The sequence below is a fragment of the Homo sapiens genome, chromosome 1, assembly GCF_000001405.40.
Source record: "Homo sapiens chromosome 1, GRCh38.p14 Primary Assembly".
Taxonomy (NCBI): Eukaryota; Metazoa; Chordata; class Mammalia; order Primates; family Hominidae; genus Homo; species Homo sapiens.
Genome location: NC_000001.11, coordinates 203126124 through 203142203, shown reverse-complemented (window position 1 = coordinate 203142203; position 16080 = coordinate 203126124). Strand labels below are relative to the sequence as shown.

The 16080-nt window shown below is 51.3% G+C and overlaps 1 protein-coding gene across 5 annotated transcripts in view, besides 2 other annotated features; it reads right to left on the bottom strand.

Annotated features, from left to right (window-relative positions):
• Positions 1 to 14478, bottom strand: part of ADORA1 (adenosine A1 receptor) — a 39680-nt gene extending 25202 nt beyond the window's left edge. For 2 of the 5 annotated variants that reach the window (NM_001365065.1, NM_001048230.2), the window contains exons 1-2: positions 14276 to 14478; positions 13022 to 13419 (exon numbers count right to left, since the gene is read on the bottom strand). Coding sequence is in view for 3 of the 5 variants with exons in the window: in NM_001048230.2 (NP_001041695.1) it covers positions 13022 to 13362 (341 nt within the window). In the remaining 2 variants the exon portion in view is untranslated. Of the gene's footprint in view, positions 1 to 12946; positions 13420 to 13771; positions 13927 to 14275 lie in introns of all 5 variants that reach the window. The other 3 variants (NM_000674.3, XM_047446499.1, NM_001365066.1) reach the window with 3 other exon arrangements.
• Positions 7134 to 8021: an enhancer, noted in NCBI's record as "H3K27ac-H3K4me1 hESC enhancer chr1:203103311-203104198 (GRCh37/hg19 assembly coordinates)". NCBI's record gives its function as "activates a minimal SCP1, AML or CMV promoter by ChIP-STARR-seq in naive and primed H9 embryonic stem cells {active_cell/tissue: H9 hESC(naive and primed)}" and the evidence as "EXISTENCE:reporter gene assay evidence [ECO:0000049][PMID:30033119]".
• Positions 13774 to 14754: an enhancer, noted in NCBI's record as "H3K4me1 hESC enhancer chr1:203096578-203097558 (GRCh37/hg19 assembly coordinates)". NCBI's record gives its function as "activates a minimal SCP1, AML or CMV promoter by ChIP-STARR-seq in primed H9 embryonic stem cells {active_cell/tissue: H9 hESC(primed)}" and the evidence as "EXISTENCE:reporter gene assay evidence [ECO:0000049][PMID:30033119]".

Here is a 16080-nt window from a genome sequence, read left to right as displayed (position 1 = left end):
ATTTAACAACAGTAACAGCCCCACTTATGGAGTGCCTACTATGTGCCAGCCCTTGAACGTACACTATCTCCCAGCCTCACAGCAACCCTAGGAAGGAGGTATTACGAATCCTGCTTTACAGAAGAGGAAATGGAAGCAGCTCAGAAAGGTTAAGCAACTTATCCAAGACAACACAGCTCTAAGTGCCTGAACTAGGATTTTTACTCCAGTCTGACTGCCTGGGGAGACTGCTCTTACCCTTCAGTTCATTAGAGTGTCTCTGTAAAGCAGCAGGAGGAAGATGTCTCTTGGAAAGGGGGATCATTAAAAACATCCAGGTTAGGCCGGGTGTGGTGGCTCATGCCTGTAATCCCAGCACTTTGGGAGACCGAGGCAGATGGATCGCTTGAGGCCAGGAGTTCGAGACCAATCTGGTCAACATGGTGAAACTCCATCTCTACTAAAAATAGAAAAGAATTACCTGGGCGTGGTGGCATGAGCCTATAGTTCCAGCTACTCGAGAGGCTGAGGCAGGAGAATCACTTGAACCCGGGAGGCAGAGGTTGCAGTGAGCCAAGATCGTGCCACTGCATTCCAGCCTAGGCAACAAAGTGAGACTCTACCTCAAAAAAAAAAAAAAAAAAAAAAAAAATCCAGGTTAGAGGAGCTTTTTTCAAACAGACCGTCCCCTCTCCTGCCCCCAAGAGAATCACTGGTGAGGTACCATTCCAGCAGTGTGGGTGTGCCTCAGAGCCCTCAGTTCTGTTGGAATAGAGAAAAGGAGCTGAGAACCAGCTCTTGCCATGCTGGAGTCCCAGCCCCTGCTCTCCCAGAGGTGGGGAAGTGAGAACTGGAAACTGGTAGCCTCTGAGAGCAGGGTGCATGGTGAGAGCTGAGAGGTCTGGCTCTCACCGCCCACACCAACCCTGCCAACTGCAGTGCAAAGTGTTCTCTCCTACATGAGGCAAAAGGAGATGATTTCTGCATGTAGGAGCTGATGGGGCTGCCACGAGCAGGCCAGGATGACTGGGACACAGCGTGCCCCCATGCCAGCCCTGGGGCTCCCCCATCCCACCTGCTCTGCCATCAGGGCTGGGCTAAATCTGACACTTGGTGATGCCTGCTTATTGATTGACCAGGTTCTCAGCTGCATTCGCTGAAATGGGGCCACTCAGTGCTCTACAGCAGCTATGAGAGGACCCTGATTGTTGCCAGTCAGAGTGGGAACCACTGTGCACGAGTTAACACAATCCACAATGCAGACCACTGGCTGCATTCCAGCAATGATAAGAAATGAGACCCTGGAGGCATGCAGAGGCCAGGATTCTCCAAAGGCTTCCTGGGGAGAGGCAGAGGCCTGGGGTAGGGAAAAGAGGCCTTAATGTCCCAGAAGCCACTGTGCCACATTCTGAAAGAGCCTAGCCAGTGAGCCCCCCAACTCTGCTGTCTCCTTCTGGAAGCTTCAGGGAGCCTGAAGCCTCATGTTCCTACTGCTGTGGTCCCAGCCTGAGAAAGCAATGGCTTCCTGAGAAGTAAGGTGGAAAGAGAGCAGCTGGAGTGGCTGAAGGCACCTGGGAATGTCTGGATTGCTGGGTGTTTAAGAGACCCTTCTATGAGGCTGTGTGAGGTAAGAGAGAGCCCCTCCTCCTGACCACACCAGGGGAGGAGAGCTGGGGAGTGGTAAGAGAGAAGACACCAGCGACCCTGCCATCACAGTGCTTCCATTTGGATACCTAATAGGATCTGAATCGTCCTCCAATTTCTTCTTCCTCCCCACCCTTCCCCATCCCCAGAAACAGCATCACCATCCACCCAGTGGCTTAAGCCGTAAGCCCGGATCGTCACATTGGATTCCTTCTCCCACGTTGCACCTCAACCTATTTCCAGTTGGTTCCAACTCTAACATGCCTGAAATCTTTCCAGTTCTGTCCATCTCCACAGCCTCCTCCACTCCCTGCCTGCCTCAAGCCCCGCCTGCTGCTCCCCAATCCTAACTAGCCTCCCTACATCCTCTGTAACCCCACTCCAACCCATCCTCCACAGAGCAGGCAGAGTGACCCTCTTATGTTGGTGTGATGAATTACACTGATTGATTTTTTTCAAATGTTAAACCACCCTTGCCTAGATGGAATGAACCCTTTCGGGTGGTGATATATTATCCTTTTTATATCACCGGATTTGATTTGCTAATATTTTCTCAAGGACTTTTGACCTTTTTAAAATGTAATCTGAATTATGTGATTCCCTGCTTAAACCACTCAGAGGCTTCATAGCACACTTAGAAAAAAATCCAAACTCTTGACCATGAACCACAAGGCCTCCAAGGCCTTACTGAAGCCCTTGTGGGTCTCTCTGGACATCGACGTGGGGTTTTGGAGAAACCAACAAGGGCCTGCCCCAGAGAATACCAGCACGGCTCCCTTTGAGTTCACAAATTGCAGTCAAAGCCACCTGCTTGCTGGCATGTCCATGGGCTCTCGCTCCCTGCTAGCCTATAAGTTCCATGAGGGCAGAGACCCGAGCCCCCTTCTTGCCCGTGGTAAGGTCCTTAATCTCATCATGAATCTGCCATTCTGAGTTAATGAAGGAATAAATTATCTGCCTCTTCCATGCCTGTGCCCATGCAGCTGAACATGGCTGGTGAGAAACACACAACCACACTGCTGAGTTGCACTTCAAATTCATCACTGCAAACTTAAGGGGGGCCCTTCATGCTGCCCCCAATTATACTAGACTTCCTGAGCCTAGTCACTCTCCCACTTCCTAGAGAATTATTTCACGCTTGCTGCTCTCTCCACCACCTCTTACTGCATCCTCACTCTCAGCTGGTGACCTTGCTTCCCAATTCACTACGAAAATGGGAAGAATCAGGAGAGAGCTTCACCTACCAGCATCTGCGCCCACAGATGCCGCATGTTGCCACAGAAGAGCCTCCAGGATCCCGTCTAAAGCCTGTCTCTCCACGTATGTCCCACTAGCCTAAACCAGGACATCACTTTAGAAATTCTCTCCTTTATTTCATCACTAGTGTTTTATTCTCTGCTGGATCATTTCTGTCAGCACACAAATGCACTAACCTCCCTTCTATCTTAAAAACAACACAGTGGGCCAGGCACGGTGGCTCACGCCTGTAATCCCAGCAGTTTGGGAGGCCGAGGCGGGCAGATCACTGGAGGTCAGGAGTTTGAGACCAGGCTGGCCAACTTGGTGAAACCCTGTCTCTACTAAAAATACAAATATTAGCCGGGCATGGTGGCATGCACCTATGATTCCAGCTACTTGGGAGGCTGAGGCAGGAGAATCACTTGAACCCGGGAGGCGGAGGCTGCAGTGAGCCGAGATCATGCCACTACACTCCAGCCTGGGTGACAGAGTGAGACTCTGTCTCAAAGTAAATAAATAAATAAATAAAATCCCAGAGTAAGACAGCTCGTTTCCACTTCCCCTGACAGCTACTGCCCCATTCCTTTGCTCTCTTTGCAACAAAATTCCTCAAGAGTACTCGATACCACCTGCCTTCAATCCCAGTCCTCTTTTCTCTTGAGCTTTCTCCATTCAGGCGTTGCCCCCATCACTCCTTTGACATTGCCCTTGTCAAGGTCACCAATGGCCTTGCAAAATCCGCTGGTAATTCTCAGTCCTTATCTCACTTCACCCATTTGTCCACCCTCCTTGGTAGACTGTCTACACTTGGCTTCCAGGTACCACACTGGGTCTGAGTTTTCTTCCTATGTCTGGAGTTCTCCTTCAGTCTCCTTTGCTGGTGCCTCCTCTTTTCCCACTTTCTCAATGCTCGGTTCTTGGTCTTCCTCTCTTCTGTATCTGCACTGTCTCTCTTGGGGATCTCATCCAGCCTCATGGATTTAAACCCATCTACATGCCATAGCTCTCACATTTACAACCACCCGCCCAGGCCTCTCATTCTTGTATATCCAACCACCTGCTCAACATTCCACTGAGATGTCTGTTAGACACGCCAAAGTCAGCATGTCTAAATCCAAACTCATTTTCTTCCTTCCACCACCTGCAGCCTTTCCCACCTTAGATGATGCCAACTGCATCCTCCCAGTTGCTTAGAAGTAAAAGTCTGGTCATATTGATTCTTCTTTCTCACATCCAATCTATAGGAAAATTCCCACATCCAACCCATAAGCAAATTCTTTGGCTCTTTTTTTCAAAATACATCATGAATTTAAACAAATCATGGTACATTCATACAATTGAATTCTAACAGCAATGAGGGGAAAAGTCCCATTCAGTAACAGGGATGAATCTTGGCAAGAATTTTGAGCTTCAGAAGCCAGACATAAAAGGGTGCAAACTGCTTGACTCCACATATAAAAGTTCAAGAACAACCAAAATCAATCTATAAGGATAAAGATCAAAATAGAGGTTGCCTTTTGGAGGGTACTGACTGGGAGGGAGCCCCATACAATGCTGGAAGTGTCCTAAATATTGATCGGGGTAGTGGTATATAGGTATATACATATGCAAAATTTTATAGAGCTGAGTACTTGAGGTTTATGCACTTTACTGGATAAAATTTTTACTTTGATACAAAGTAAATTAAAAGTTAAAAATTTTAAATGCATATCCAGAATTAACCACTTCTCACCACCTCCTCTGCTATTGTTCAGATTAGAGCCACCTCCGTCTTCCCTTACCTGAATCACTGCAATAGCACCTAACTACTCCCGTTTGCACCCTTGTCCCTAAAGCACATTCTCAACACGGCAACGAGAGTGATCCTTTAAAGCCTAAGTCAGATCATGTCACATCTCTGCTCTAAATCCTGCAATGGCTCACCATTTCCCTCAGAGTAAAAGCCATTGTCTTTCCAGTGGCCTCCATGCTGTACCTGGGCCAGTGACCCATTATCTCTGACCACTCTCTCCCTTTATCTCTCCATCTCAGCCCCACAGGCCTCTTTGCTAGTCCCTAAACCCTTCAGGTACATTCCTATGCTAGGGCCTCTGTTCTAGTTCTTTCCCCTGCATGGCATGCCCTCCCTATATCTGCATGGTGTGTTCCCTCACCTCCAGGGTTTTGGTCAAATGGCACCTTCTCAGTAAAGCCTCACGGACCACCCTATTTAAAGTTGCAACCCTTTCTCCCAGCCCCATTCTGGGCTGGGGCATTTCCAATCCCATTTACCCTGCCCCCTTTTTCTTTTTTCAATAGCACATTCTACCTTCCAACACTCTACATGATTTAGGTATTGCATTTATTATCTAGCATCTGATTTCCAATTCATTAGAATTCAGTCTCCATGAGGATCTCTGTTTTATTAATGAAAGTATCCCAACAGACCCTGGCTCATATGAGCACTCAATAAGTATTTGTTGAATAAATGAACAAATGAATGAATTAATGAATGAGTAGGTCTATCTGTACCAGGGCCCGGTGTAGGGACAAATCAGCTGCCCTTCTCTCTCAAAGGGGAAGCAAGAGGCAAGAAGGTAAGTTCAAAGAGCCTTTCCTACACAACCTGAGCTGCATGGAGTGAGTGTGGAGTGGGATCCAGCTGCCCAGCCCAGCTCTGCAAGGCATCAGCTGCCAGTCTCCTGCCATCCCCACTCCCACCACAGGTGGGGTGAGAGTTTCTCCTTGGCCACCTTGGTCTGTGGGAATCCATCATCTCAGCAGAGACTCTGAGCTGTCAGACAGAGGTAGAGACCAGATCAGCCTGCCCATCTGTGTATCCCCAGGCCTGGCCAAGTGCCTGACATATAGCAGGTGCTCAAAGCACACTTATAAAATAGATAAATGGATGTTGCCAGCCCCTCAGCCCCACACCTCTCTGCAGTTCTGCTGGGGAATAAAATTCCAAGGTAAGGAGCAAGGCAGGAGAAGGTACCCCCATGTCCTCTCCCTTGGGGTCAGGGAAGCCCCTTGCCAGCTGCCCCCATCTCCCTGCCCACCTTCAAACCAGTATTTCTAAGAGGACGTGTATGCCAAGACCCACCCATCTGCCTCTCCTTCTTCTCCTTATCCCCACGACCACCTGCCTGCCAGGCTTTTCTTTGGACTGCGGCAGCTGATAGTTCCCTCTGGGCTTGAATTAAGAAGGCTGAGGTTAAAGGAGTGATTCATGCCGCCCAAGGAGCCGTGTCTCTCCACTTCCTTCCTCTCTGCTCTATGTGTCTGTCCCCACCTGCCGAATGAGGCCAACCAAGATGTGCCTCACCCCAAGTCCTCTCCCAGGGACACTGCTTCCTCACCCTCAGGATGCCGAGGCCTTCAGGAAAGAGACCAGGCAATAAGGACTAGACTTGGGGCCCATACAGTCCTGCCCAACCCAGCCCAGAAGGGGAAGTGGGCTAAAGAATGCCAAATGCCCCCGGGGGATTTGCAGTGTGGGTAAAATTGGGGAGGGAGAAGGGAGAGTTGGAGTAAAGGGACTTGGGAAATATTTAACCTCACAAGGCAATCTTTCTAGATAGCACCTACACTATTTACTGGGTGACACAGCCCAGGTTCTGACTTGGCTCTGACCCTATGAACATTGTGAATCATTAAAGTGTTTTTTTGTTTGATTTTATAATTTCAACTTTTTTTTTTTTTTTTGAGACAAAGTCTCACTCTGTTGCCCAGGCTGGAGTGCAGTGGCATGATCTCAGCTCACTGCAACATCTGCCTCTTGGATTCATGCAATTCTCCTGCCTCAGCCTCTCAAGTAGCTGGGATTACAGTCGTGCACCACCATGCCCATCTAATTTTTGTATTTTTAGTAGAGACGCATTTCACCATGCTGGCCAAGATGGTCTTGAACTCCTGACCTCAAATGATCTGCCTGCCTCGGGCTCCCAAAGTGTTGGGATTACAGGCATGAGCCACCGCGCCCAGCCTCAACTTTTATTTTAATAGATTAAGGGGTACATGTGCAGGTTTGTTACACAGTAAAGCATTTTTCATAACAATAAATAATCAGAAACAATTGAAGTAGCCAGTGATATAAGAATGCATAAATAAAATATGATATTCAAATATTCATTTATTCAAAAATTTTTCCGGCATGCCTGCTCTGTGCCAGGCATGGGGAAATGGGGGTATGTAAGCAGATGTGTCCCTGGCCTTTGGGAACTTACCAAGCCCAGAAAGAGCGACATTGACTAGAAAGCTACCCAGGTGATGAGTGGTGGACTTGGAAGGAGAAGGAGATCCAACTTGAGTGTCTACCAGAGGAAACTGGTCCAGGTGGGGTGGGGCTCAGGGAAGGCCCCCCTAAGGAGAGCCCATTTTAGCTGAGACCCAAAAGATGAGTAATAATACAATCCAATATTATACCGCCATAAAAATCCTTACAAAATCATTTTAGTTGACACAGGGAAATGCTTATAATGTTAAGTGAATAAAATAGGATATAAAACCATGTATATATAGATGTTCTCAATATGTAAAAATAATATATCTATATATATGTGTGTGTGTGGAAAAATTTTCTGGAACACCAAAATGTTAACGGTAGTTCTCTGTAGGTGGTAGAATTACTGGTGATTTTACCATCTTTATTCTTTCTTCCATTTTTCACAATCAACATGGATTGCTTTTATGCTTGGAAATAAATAGCAAATGTCAGGGTGCGGCCCCTACAGATCTGCCTCTGGGTAAAAGGCATCCTGGCCATTCTCCGGCTTCCACGCAGAGCTGACACCTCGGCAGGTTGCCCCTCAAGCACTCAGAAACTTCCGGGAAGCCACCCGATGCCAGCTGGGGGAAGCTTTCACACTTGAAAGGAGTCCAGATGCCTCTTCAATTAAAGGCCATGTTCTCCCTTGGCCCAGCAAGCTGCTTGGCCTAACACACCTGAAGGCTATCCCTAATTCAGAGAAATTATCTTCTCAATCACAAAGCAACTTCCCTCCGCCTCATTCCCCTCTAAGCCTGCCACTGATCTGCTGACTTCACCCACTGAGGCTGCATACTTTCCTTTTCTGTTCCTTGAGGGGCGGGTGACTGCAAAGAGCTCTTCTGCTCAAGCTTTTTACATCAGAGGCGGGGGAGCAAGCATCCAGATGGGAGGAGGAAAGAACTCCCAGCCAAGTAATCTTGCGTAAGCTCCTCCTCTCTCCAATCTCAGTTTCCTCCTCAGTCCGCAAGTGTGAGAGTTTGAGCTTCAGGGCTTCCTCCAACTCCTCTTCCCTCTTAGACACTCCAGGCCTATGACTAATCCATCCTTAGATACAGGATCTGAAGACGGCCTACCTCTCTGAAAGCAGAAGGCATGACCTGAGAGCAACTGTTCTGGGACCCAGAAGCCACAGACAGTCACCTGCGGGGGCATGACGGCACACAAGGCATTTCAGGGTTGTCAAGAAAAGCCCAGGCTAGCCAGGGTGGGGACAGCTAAATTGATGCCTAAACGCAAACGTGCCCTAATTTACCAGATTTCTTTCCCCACTCTGGCTCAGCACGCCGAGCTCCTCCACCACTCCTTGCTGTGGTTCCCCGGGTCAGCAGCCCAGTGGGGCAGGCTTCAAGCTATGGACAGAGGCAGGAACTGCCAAGGGCTCAACTGCCCACTGGAGTGAAGGTGGAGGGGAAGATGCTGGGCGGGGACTGAGCAGAGTGCAGAGGCCATTGGCAAAGATCAGAGGAGAAAAATCACCCTACTGACAACTTCATAGAAACTCCTCCAAAAATCCTACAGCTTCTTGGGCTGACGCAAGATACACATGGGCTTACTGGTTAAAGGCATCTGTTAGGCCTAGAGTCAAATCCTGCTTCTGCCCCTGACAAGCTGTTTGGGCAAGTTACTGAAACTCCCCAAGCCTCAGCCCTCAATTTAGCTAAAGAATTGTCTATAGAGAGGCCAGGCGAGGTGGCTCACGCCTGTAATCCCAGCACTTTGGGAAGCCAAGGCGGGTGGCTCACCTGAGGTCAAAAATTCGAGACCAGCCTGGCCAACATGGTGAAACCCCATCTCTACTAAAAATACAAAAAATGAGCTGGGCATGGTGGCATGCACCTGTAATTCTAGCTACTCAGGAGGCTGAGGCAGGAGAATCGCTTGAACCTGGGAGGTGGAGGTTGCAGTGAGCTGAGATTGTGCCACTGCACTCCAGCCTGGGCGACAGAATGAGACTCCATCTCAAAAAAAAAAAAAAAGAATTGTCTATACAATGGGGGTAACAATAAGCTCTACTAGTGAGACTATGAACATTGAATGAGATAAAATATATTAAAAACATAGCATTGTTCCTAGCATACACTCACTAGGAGCTAAAACACACAACACAACAAAACCCTCCCGGGATCCCAACACAGCACTGGCAGGAGTCAGGATAAGGAAGAACCACAGAATTAGAGCTGAAAGGTACCTCAGAGACCTCAAATCCAACCCCTTCATTTCTTTCTTTTTATTTATTTATTTATATTGAGACAGAGTCTTGCTCTGTTGCCCAGGCTAGAGTGTAGTGGCGCAATCTCGGCTCACTGCAATATACGCCTCCCAAGTCCAAGTGATTCTCCTGTCTCAGCCTCCCAAGTAGCTGGGATGACAGGCATGTGCCACCACGCCCAGCTATTTGTTTTTGGTATTTTTAGTAGTGATGGGGTTTCACCATGTTGTCCAGGCTGATCTCGAACTCCTGGTCTCAAGGGATACACCCATCTCAGCCTCCCAATGTGCTGGGATTACAGGCATGAGCCACCATGCCCCACCTCCAACCCCTTCATTTAACAGATGGTGAAGGGGAAAGGCTCAGAGAGGCTGAATAACTTATCAAAGGTTGCATAGCTAATTAGTAACAGAGCAAGGTTCAAACTCAGGTCTGCCTGACTCGCAAACACCCACCATCCCTCACTCCACTCCAACCCAGCTGGCCATGGACAGCCCCCTTGCTAGGGTCTCCTTCCCACAGAGAGGTTTGGTCAGGGAGCCCTCTGTTGGCACACTTCCCTACAACTAGCCCTCGGGAGTAGGCACCAAATTGCCACCAAGAAAGCTCTGGGTGAGGGGTTAAGGGACAAATAATAGAGATTCCCTAGAACCAGGAGCTGAGGGGAATAGGGCTTCAATTACCAAGCATGGGGAGGTGCTATGCAAATAGCGTGCAAATTATATGCAAATGACCACAGGTTACTGATGAATCAACAATTTGAGCTTAAAAAGAAAAAATTTTGTAACTGGATCATATTATATGGTGTGAATCTCTTTTCTCTCTTGGTTTTCTGCCAAGTAGAAAGAAAGAAAATTTGTGGTTGACTGACCAAACCATGCCCCACTTGGTGATAGCCAGCAGACACCTGTATCCGGGTGCCCCAGACACGCCTCACCAGTGCTCGGTCAGTACGACTCTCTGTGCCCAGGGCCACATCTACCTTTGACTGGCATGTCAGGGCAGCAAGCCTGGTGCCTGGGGACCTCTGGCCAAGAGGAGTTTCGTAGACCCAGCAGCCTGCTGACTCCAGCCACGTAGAGGGGAGCAAAGCATGCTGTTCCTCCTGGAAGGGACCTGGGCAGTGCCACGCAGGAGCCCAGAATGGCCCAACACCTCAGCCAGGATCCCTGCTTGAGAAGTGAGGCCCCAGCAGCCTTTCCCTAACTCAGGAGAAAGGCTCCTCTCCATGGGGCAGGACACTCCCAGGCACTGCTGGTGTGTGGCTGTCAAGGAGCCACGCTGAGCCAGTGGGGGCATCTGTGGTCATGGCCCTGAATCAGAAGTGGGGACAGGTCTAGCCCACAGCAAGAAAGTGAGAGGTTAGACTTCTGGAAGATAGGCTTGAGGCTCAACTGTGTGTGTTCCGTAAACCTGGCCAATTCAATCAACGTTTACTGAGGGTCTGTGATGTGCCAGACACTGAGCTGGGCATTCTGAAGAATTTGCAGAAATAGATAAGATGTGGATGCTGCCTTGAGGCACCAACACTGCACCAGAGGAGTAGAAACATGTATAGATATAACTTCACAGTACTTAGACACCTCCTGGGAGATGTGTTGCGTATGTGTTTGTGTGCGTGTTTCTTCGTGTGTATGTGTTGACACCGAATGACACCTAAGAGCGTGAGTGGCAGGAGTAGGGCTCACCTATCCAGCCACACTTGAGCCATATGTTAATAGTGACAATAAAACTACAAATAAGACCTCCCTATGGCTTGCATATATGAGGCATAATATTAATACAAGTGCTTCGCATATATGAGTTCATTAAATTATTCCAATAACCCTAGGGAGTAGGCACTATTATTAATGTTCCCTTTTATACATAAGGACATTAAAGCTTAAAGCGGTTAGGTAAGTGACTTTTGCACAGCTAGAAATTCCCAGCAAGGATTTGAACTCAGGCCCATGGCAGCCTCTGTGCAGGTCCCTGCCTCCACCCTCAAAGGACAGCTCCCCAGGACCCCAGCTCCAAAGCCACAGCAGCTGCCTCCTGAAGGAATAAGTCTGCTGTTCCCACCAGTGCAGCCATCCCAGCCCCACAGGGCAAGTAGGGTGCATTCTGTCACAGCAAGACGGGACCTTTGGCTCACCTTAACACTCACTCAGCAGACAGAATTTCTCCAGCAGCCTTCCTACAGCTGGACATCTGCATGAGTTTCCAAATGTGGCAACACTTCGTTATAATGGCCAGGCTCAGAGGCCCCGCTCTTCTAATGCACTGAGACCAGCTTTATATGTGCAGCCCAGCAGCAACCTGGGACTAATGGCAGCATGTGGGCCCCTCAGTGGATGAGCCTATGGGGCTTCTGGCTGTGTTCCCTTATTCACCCCACCTTCCCTGGAAAACCTGGAGGGTGGAGGGAGGTAGACAGGGCAGAGAGACTGGCATCAAGCCACTGGGCATGGGGAATCAGGAAGGAAGGCAGATAATTAGATCACACTTCTGAGTGAGCTTCAAGGAGACCCTCTGAGTCTTAGTTTCCCCCTTTAAAAGCTCCTGCTCCACCTCCCTTACAGCGGCGTGATGATAACAGGAAAAAATCATGCATGTAAGAAAGGCTTTGAAAAGTTAAATGTGCACAAATGTAACACAAAGGGAGAAACATGGGTCCCTAGGCCTGCCCGGGCAAGGGGCCAAGTGAGGTCAGAGGCCCTACATCCCAGAGAAGCTATGCCGGGGGTGGCAGGTGCTGGAGATGGCCAGAGCTCCCCAGGAGAAAAGGAATCTACTGGGGGCAAGAATTCAAAGAGGGGGCAAGCATGCCTCACAAGAGCGTCCCAGCAGGGCCAGTCCCTGGCAATATGCCCAGGCACTCGCTGGCACTTGGTGGCCCAAGGCACTGCCTGGTGATGAGATTGTGGCCTGGCAGGGAGCTCCAACATGGGCTGGACACCCACACTGAGGACGGCACCAGCAGGCCACCCATCCCAGTGCTGCCTGGGAGCAGCACAAGCACCTCTACTGTGACCAGCAAAGAGGTGGTTTTGCAACAGAACAGCAATATGAGAAGTAGGCACCAGCATTTTTCCTTCCTCCTGTCTGTAACAGAGGTCCCATAAGTGGGAGTGAGGCAAAGGTAATCAGACTGTTGGGTTCAGCTGGAAAGCCCTGGAAGGAACAGCTGGCTAGCACAGAGATACCTGGTGAATGAGAGAGCCAAAGCGTGCCTTTGGGAAGCCTGCCGTGGTCTGGCTGGAGAAGCAGCACTCCTGCCCCTGTTGTGCCACCCTCAGTATGTTCCCACCCCACCCTAACTCTCTTCTCTGCCTCTTCCTCTTCCTCTTCCCTGGGACTGGCAGAGCTCAGCTCATTCCTACCCAGCACTCACTGTGACCCCATCTTAGTGGCTCTTCCAAATCTCCCACCTCCACCCCAGGCCTGACAGGCAGCCTCAGGTTCCCTGGCTGCAAGAGCTTCAGCTCTGAGGTCATGGGCACTGGTAAGTTCACAGTACAGTCCTCCAGCCACCCATCCCCCTCCTGTTTCTCTGGCCCTGCAGAGCGGAGCACGGAAAGGCAGAGTGAGGACTGGAGCACGATGGCCCAAAGAACATCTGGCTTACTTGGGGTCTTATGCTCTACCTTTTTTCCTTTCTAGATGGCCCTCAAGCCAGCCATCATGTGGTGCTGCGAGTACCTTCGGCGCTGTGGACTCACCGGAGAGGGATCTTGACCCGGAGGTAGCGGTCCACAGCAATTGCCAGCAGGGCCAGGATGGAGCTCTGGGTGAGGATGAGGACCGGACAGGCAACCATGAGGCAGGTGTGGAAGTAGGTCTGTGGCCCAATGTTGATGAGGATGGCGAGGGGGATGACCAGGGCACCCACGGCCACATCAGCCACCGCCAGCGACACGATGAAGCAGAAGGTGGCATCCCGCAGCGCCTGGTTCACCTTCACCGCCCAGATCACCAGCACGTTCCCGGGCACAGAGACCAGGGCGATGAGCACCTCGATGCCGATGTAGGCGGCCTGGAAAGCTGAGATGGAGGGCGGCATGGCGGGCACAGGCTGGGCACATCAGCAGACGGGCACCAAGGGGCACGAGGCAAGCACCTGTGTGGTCAGGGAAGCCTGGGATGGGGAGACCCGTCTGGGAGGGGCAGGGAGCTCAGGCTGCCCTGGAACTCCAGGTACCCTGTGATGTGTCCCACTTGTCACATGCAGCTCCTACCCAGGCTGGAGGGGCACCCGGACCCTTCTCTGCCTAATCTTTGTCCCTTCCCTTTATCATTCCCAGAGGTTCCATTCAGCAACTTAAAATAGCAGCGCTCACTCCTCCACTGGCTTTTTTATCAGGTGTGAGGCAGCTCCCAGCGCGCGCGCACACACAGACACACGCACAGAGGGGTCTCCCATGACTGGCTCTGCCCACCCCTGTGCACAGAACAGGATGCAGGGAGCTCACCATCCTGCCTGCTGGCCGGCAGGGGTCCCAGAGGCAGTGCCCAAAGTTCCAGGGAACAGAGCTCCGGGCCGCGCGCGGTAGGGCTGGGCTGGGCTCTGGACAACGCGCGGCAGCTCATAGTCCTCCGGCTCCCGCCGCAGCGCTCCCAGCCCGGCCTTTCAAGCAATCACATGGTACGGCAGAGACTCAGCCCCGGACGCTTTTAAAGAGGTAGCGCCCCTGTTTCGCACCTGGGACTGGGGTGGCAGACGTGGGTCTGGGGACGGAGCCCAGGACAAGGCTGGGGCGTTTCTCCCTATTCCCCAGCGTGCCCGCACCTGCCCTGCGCCCACCCACTTGAGACCCGTCTGGTGCCTGGATCTTAGCAGTCCTCTGGTCCCGTTCCAGCTCTGTCGGGGAACCTTGCCCATGGCCTGCCCCAAGGGGGCATTCCGGTCTCTTCTTTCAACCCTCTCCTGCACCCCCATTGGGGAGCCCCAGGGGTGAACCGAGACTCAGACTTACCCAAGGTCACCAAAGCTGGCAGAGCTCCCGGCTGCCTGACTGTTCTGTCCAAGTGCCCCCACACCTCGACGCCTTCAGCAGCCGCTAGCTCCAGGGATTCCTGGGGAAGCCAAGGCCGGCCGGTAAGCTCCAGAGGGATGGTAGCTGGCTGGGACTCGACTCGGGCGCCTGCGGCTCTGTCGCCCCCGGCGCAGGAGCTGAGTGACAATCGGGCTCCGCACACCGGGAGGGGGCGGGGGCGGCGGCGGCACCCGCCAGCCCCTCCCTCCTCATCCTCCGTCTCCTCCCCCACCCCCTCCTCTTAACAAAGGAAGTGATACTGGGTGAGAAAAGCTGGAAAAAATGTGAGCTTTTCGAAGGGCCTGGTGTGTGCGCCCAGCCTCAGGACTGGACAGAGGCGCATCCTTCCTGTGTCCACTCTCTCCCTTCTCAATGCAGGACTCCTGGGAGCCCTGGTCTGGCCTCCAGCGACCCCTCACCCCTCACGGCACAGCATCTCTTCTGCAGGACTTCAGAATGCCCCCTCTGGGATCTCCCAAAGCAGTCGGTAGCCCTGGCACCCTCCCCCAATCCTAAAACCCTGCTCTCTCCATGAAACCAGTCCCTGCATCTTCTCATCCCATATTGTTTTGCAGGCTCTACCCTGAGTCATTATATTCCTTTCTCATCCATCTTTCAGAATTGCCTTTTAGTCTATTAGCAATTTCTATTTTGCAGATAAGGATGCTGAGGCTCAGGGAAGTGACCTAGCTTCCCAGGATCTCCTGGCAGTGTAACCCGCTCTGCGCTCCTTTTCCTTCCTCCTTCTTCCTCTTCATAGCACAGCGCTAAGCCATAAGGCATCCAGTCCAATCCCCTCATGTTACAGATAAAGAAGCAGGCTCAGGGAAGCAAGGGACTTCCGGAGGGTCACAGGGCAAATCCTAACAGGACCAAAATAAGAATCCCAGGCTCCTGACTCTCTCCACTGGGTCCAGACCCCTCCCCTGGCCACCTTCTGCCAGTTTCGGTTTAGGCAGTCCACTGATATTAACTAATGACCAGACCCTGGACATGGATGGATGCCTCGCAGAGATCCCAACCTGAGAAATCCTTGTTTGTGGGTATTGGGCAAGGGTTCTAGGAAGGCAAAGAGAGTCAGGCTGGGGACCCCAATGTTAGCTAGCCACAACCCAACCTGGCCTCTGGGGGTACTGCCCCCCTCACTGGATCTCAGAATGCAAGGAAAAGGGTTCTGCCCAGAGGAGGGTGGGCACGTTGCTCCCATTGGGGGCTGCACTGAATCACAGTGAGGAATGATGTGGGACCCGGAACCTGGGTAGCTGGGAGGCAGGGAGGAAGGGCAGTTGAGTCTTCTGAGGAGGAGGGGGAAGCCCTCTGTGGGGAAAAATAACTTCCATTTCTGCCTTTAGGGGGAGCAAGGAATCAGTGCCTCAGACAGCAAAATTACATTCCTTCCCTAGAAGCTAGTTGGAGAAATTAGGAAGTGTAAACTCTCCTTCCTCCTCGTCCCCTTGCACTTCCCCTGCTGACTTTGTCAACACGCCCAACAGCACCTGACGTCCTGCCTACTCCCCCTGCCACCCAGACATGCAGGCCTTTGCGACCATCCCCTGCCTCTCCACCCTTTGCTTGACTTAAGCCATTTTTGGCTCAAGGCTTTCTCTCTCAGTTTACACTCAGCTTCCCAATGGTCACTCAACTAGATGTCAGAAGAGACTGTGAAGACCCAGATGGGCCCAGCTTGGGGACGGGGATGGGTGAGTGGGGTCACCCTGTCTAACTATTGACAGCATCTTCAGCTC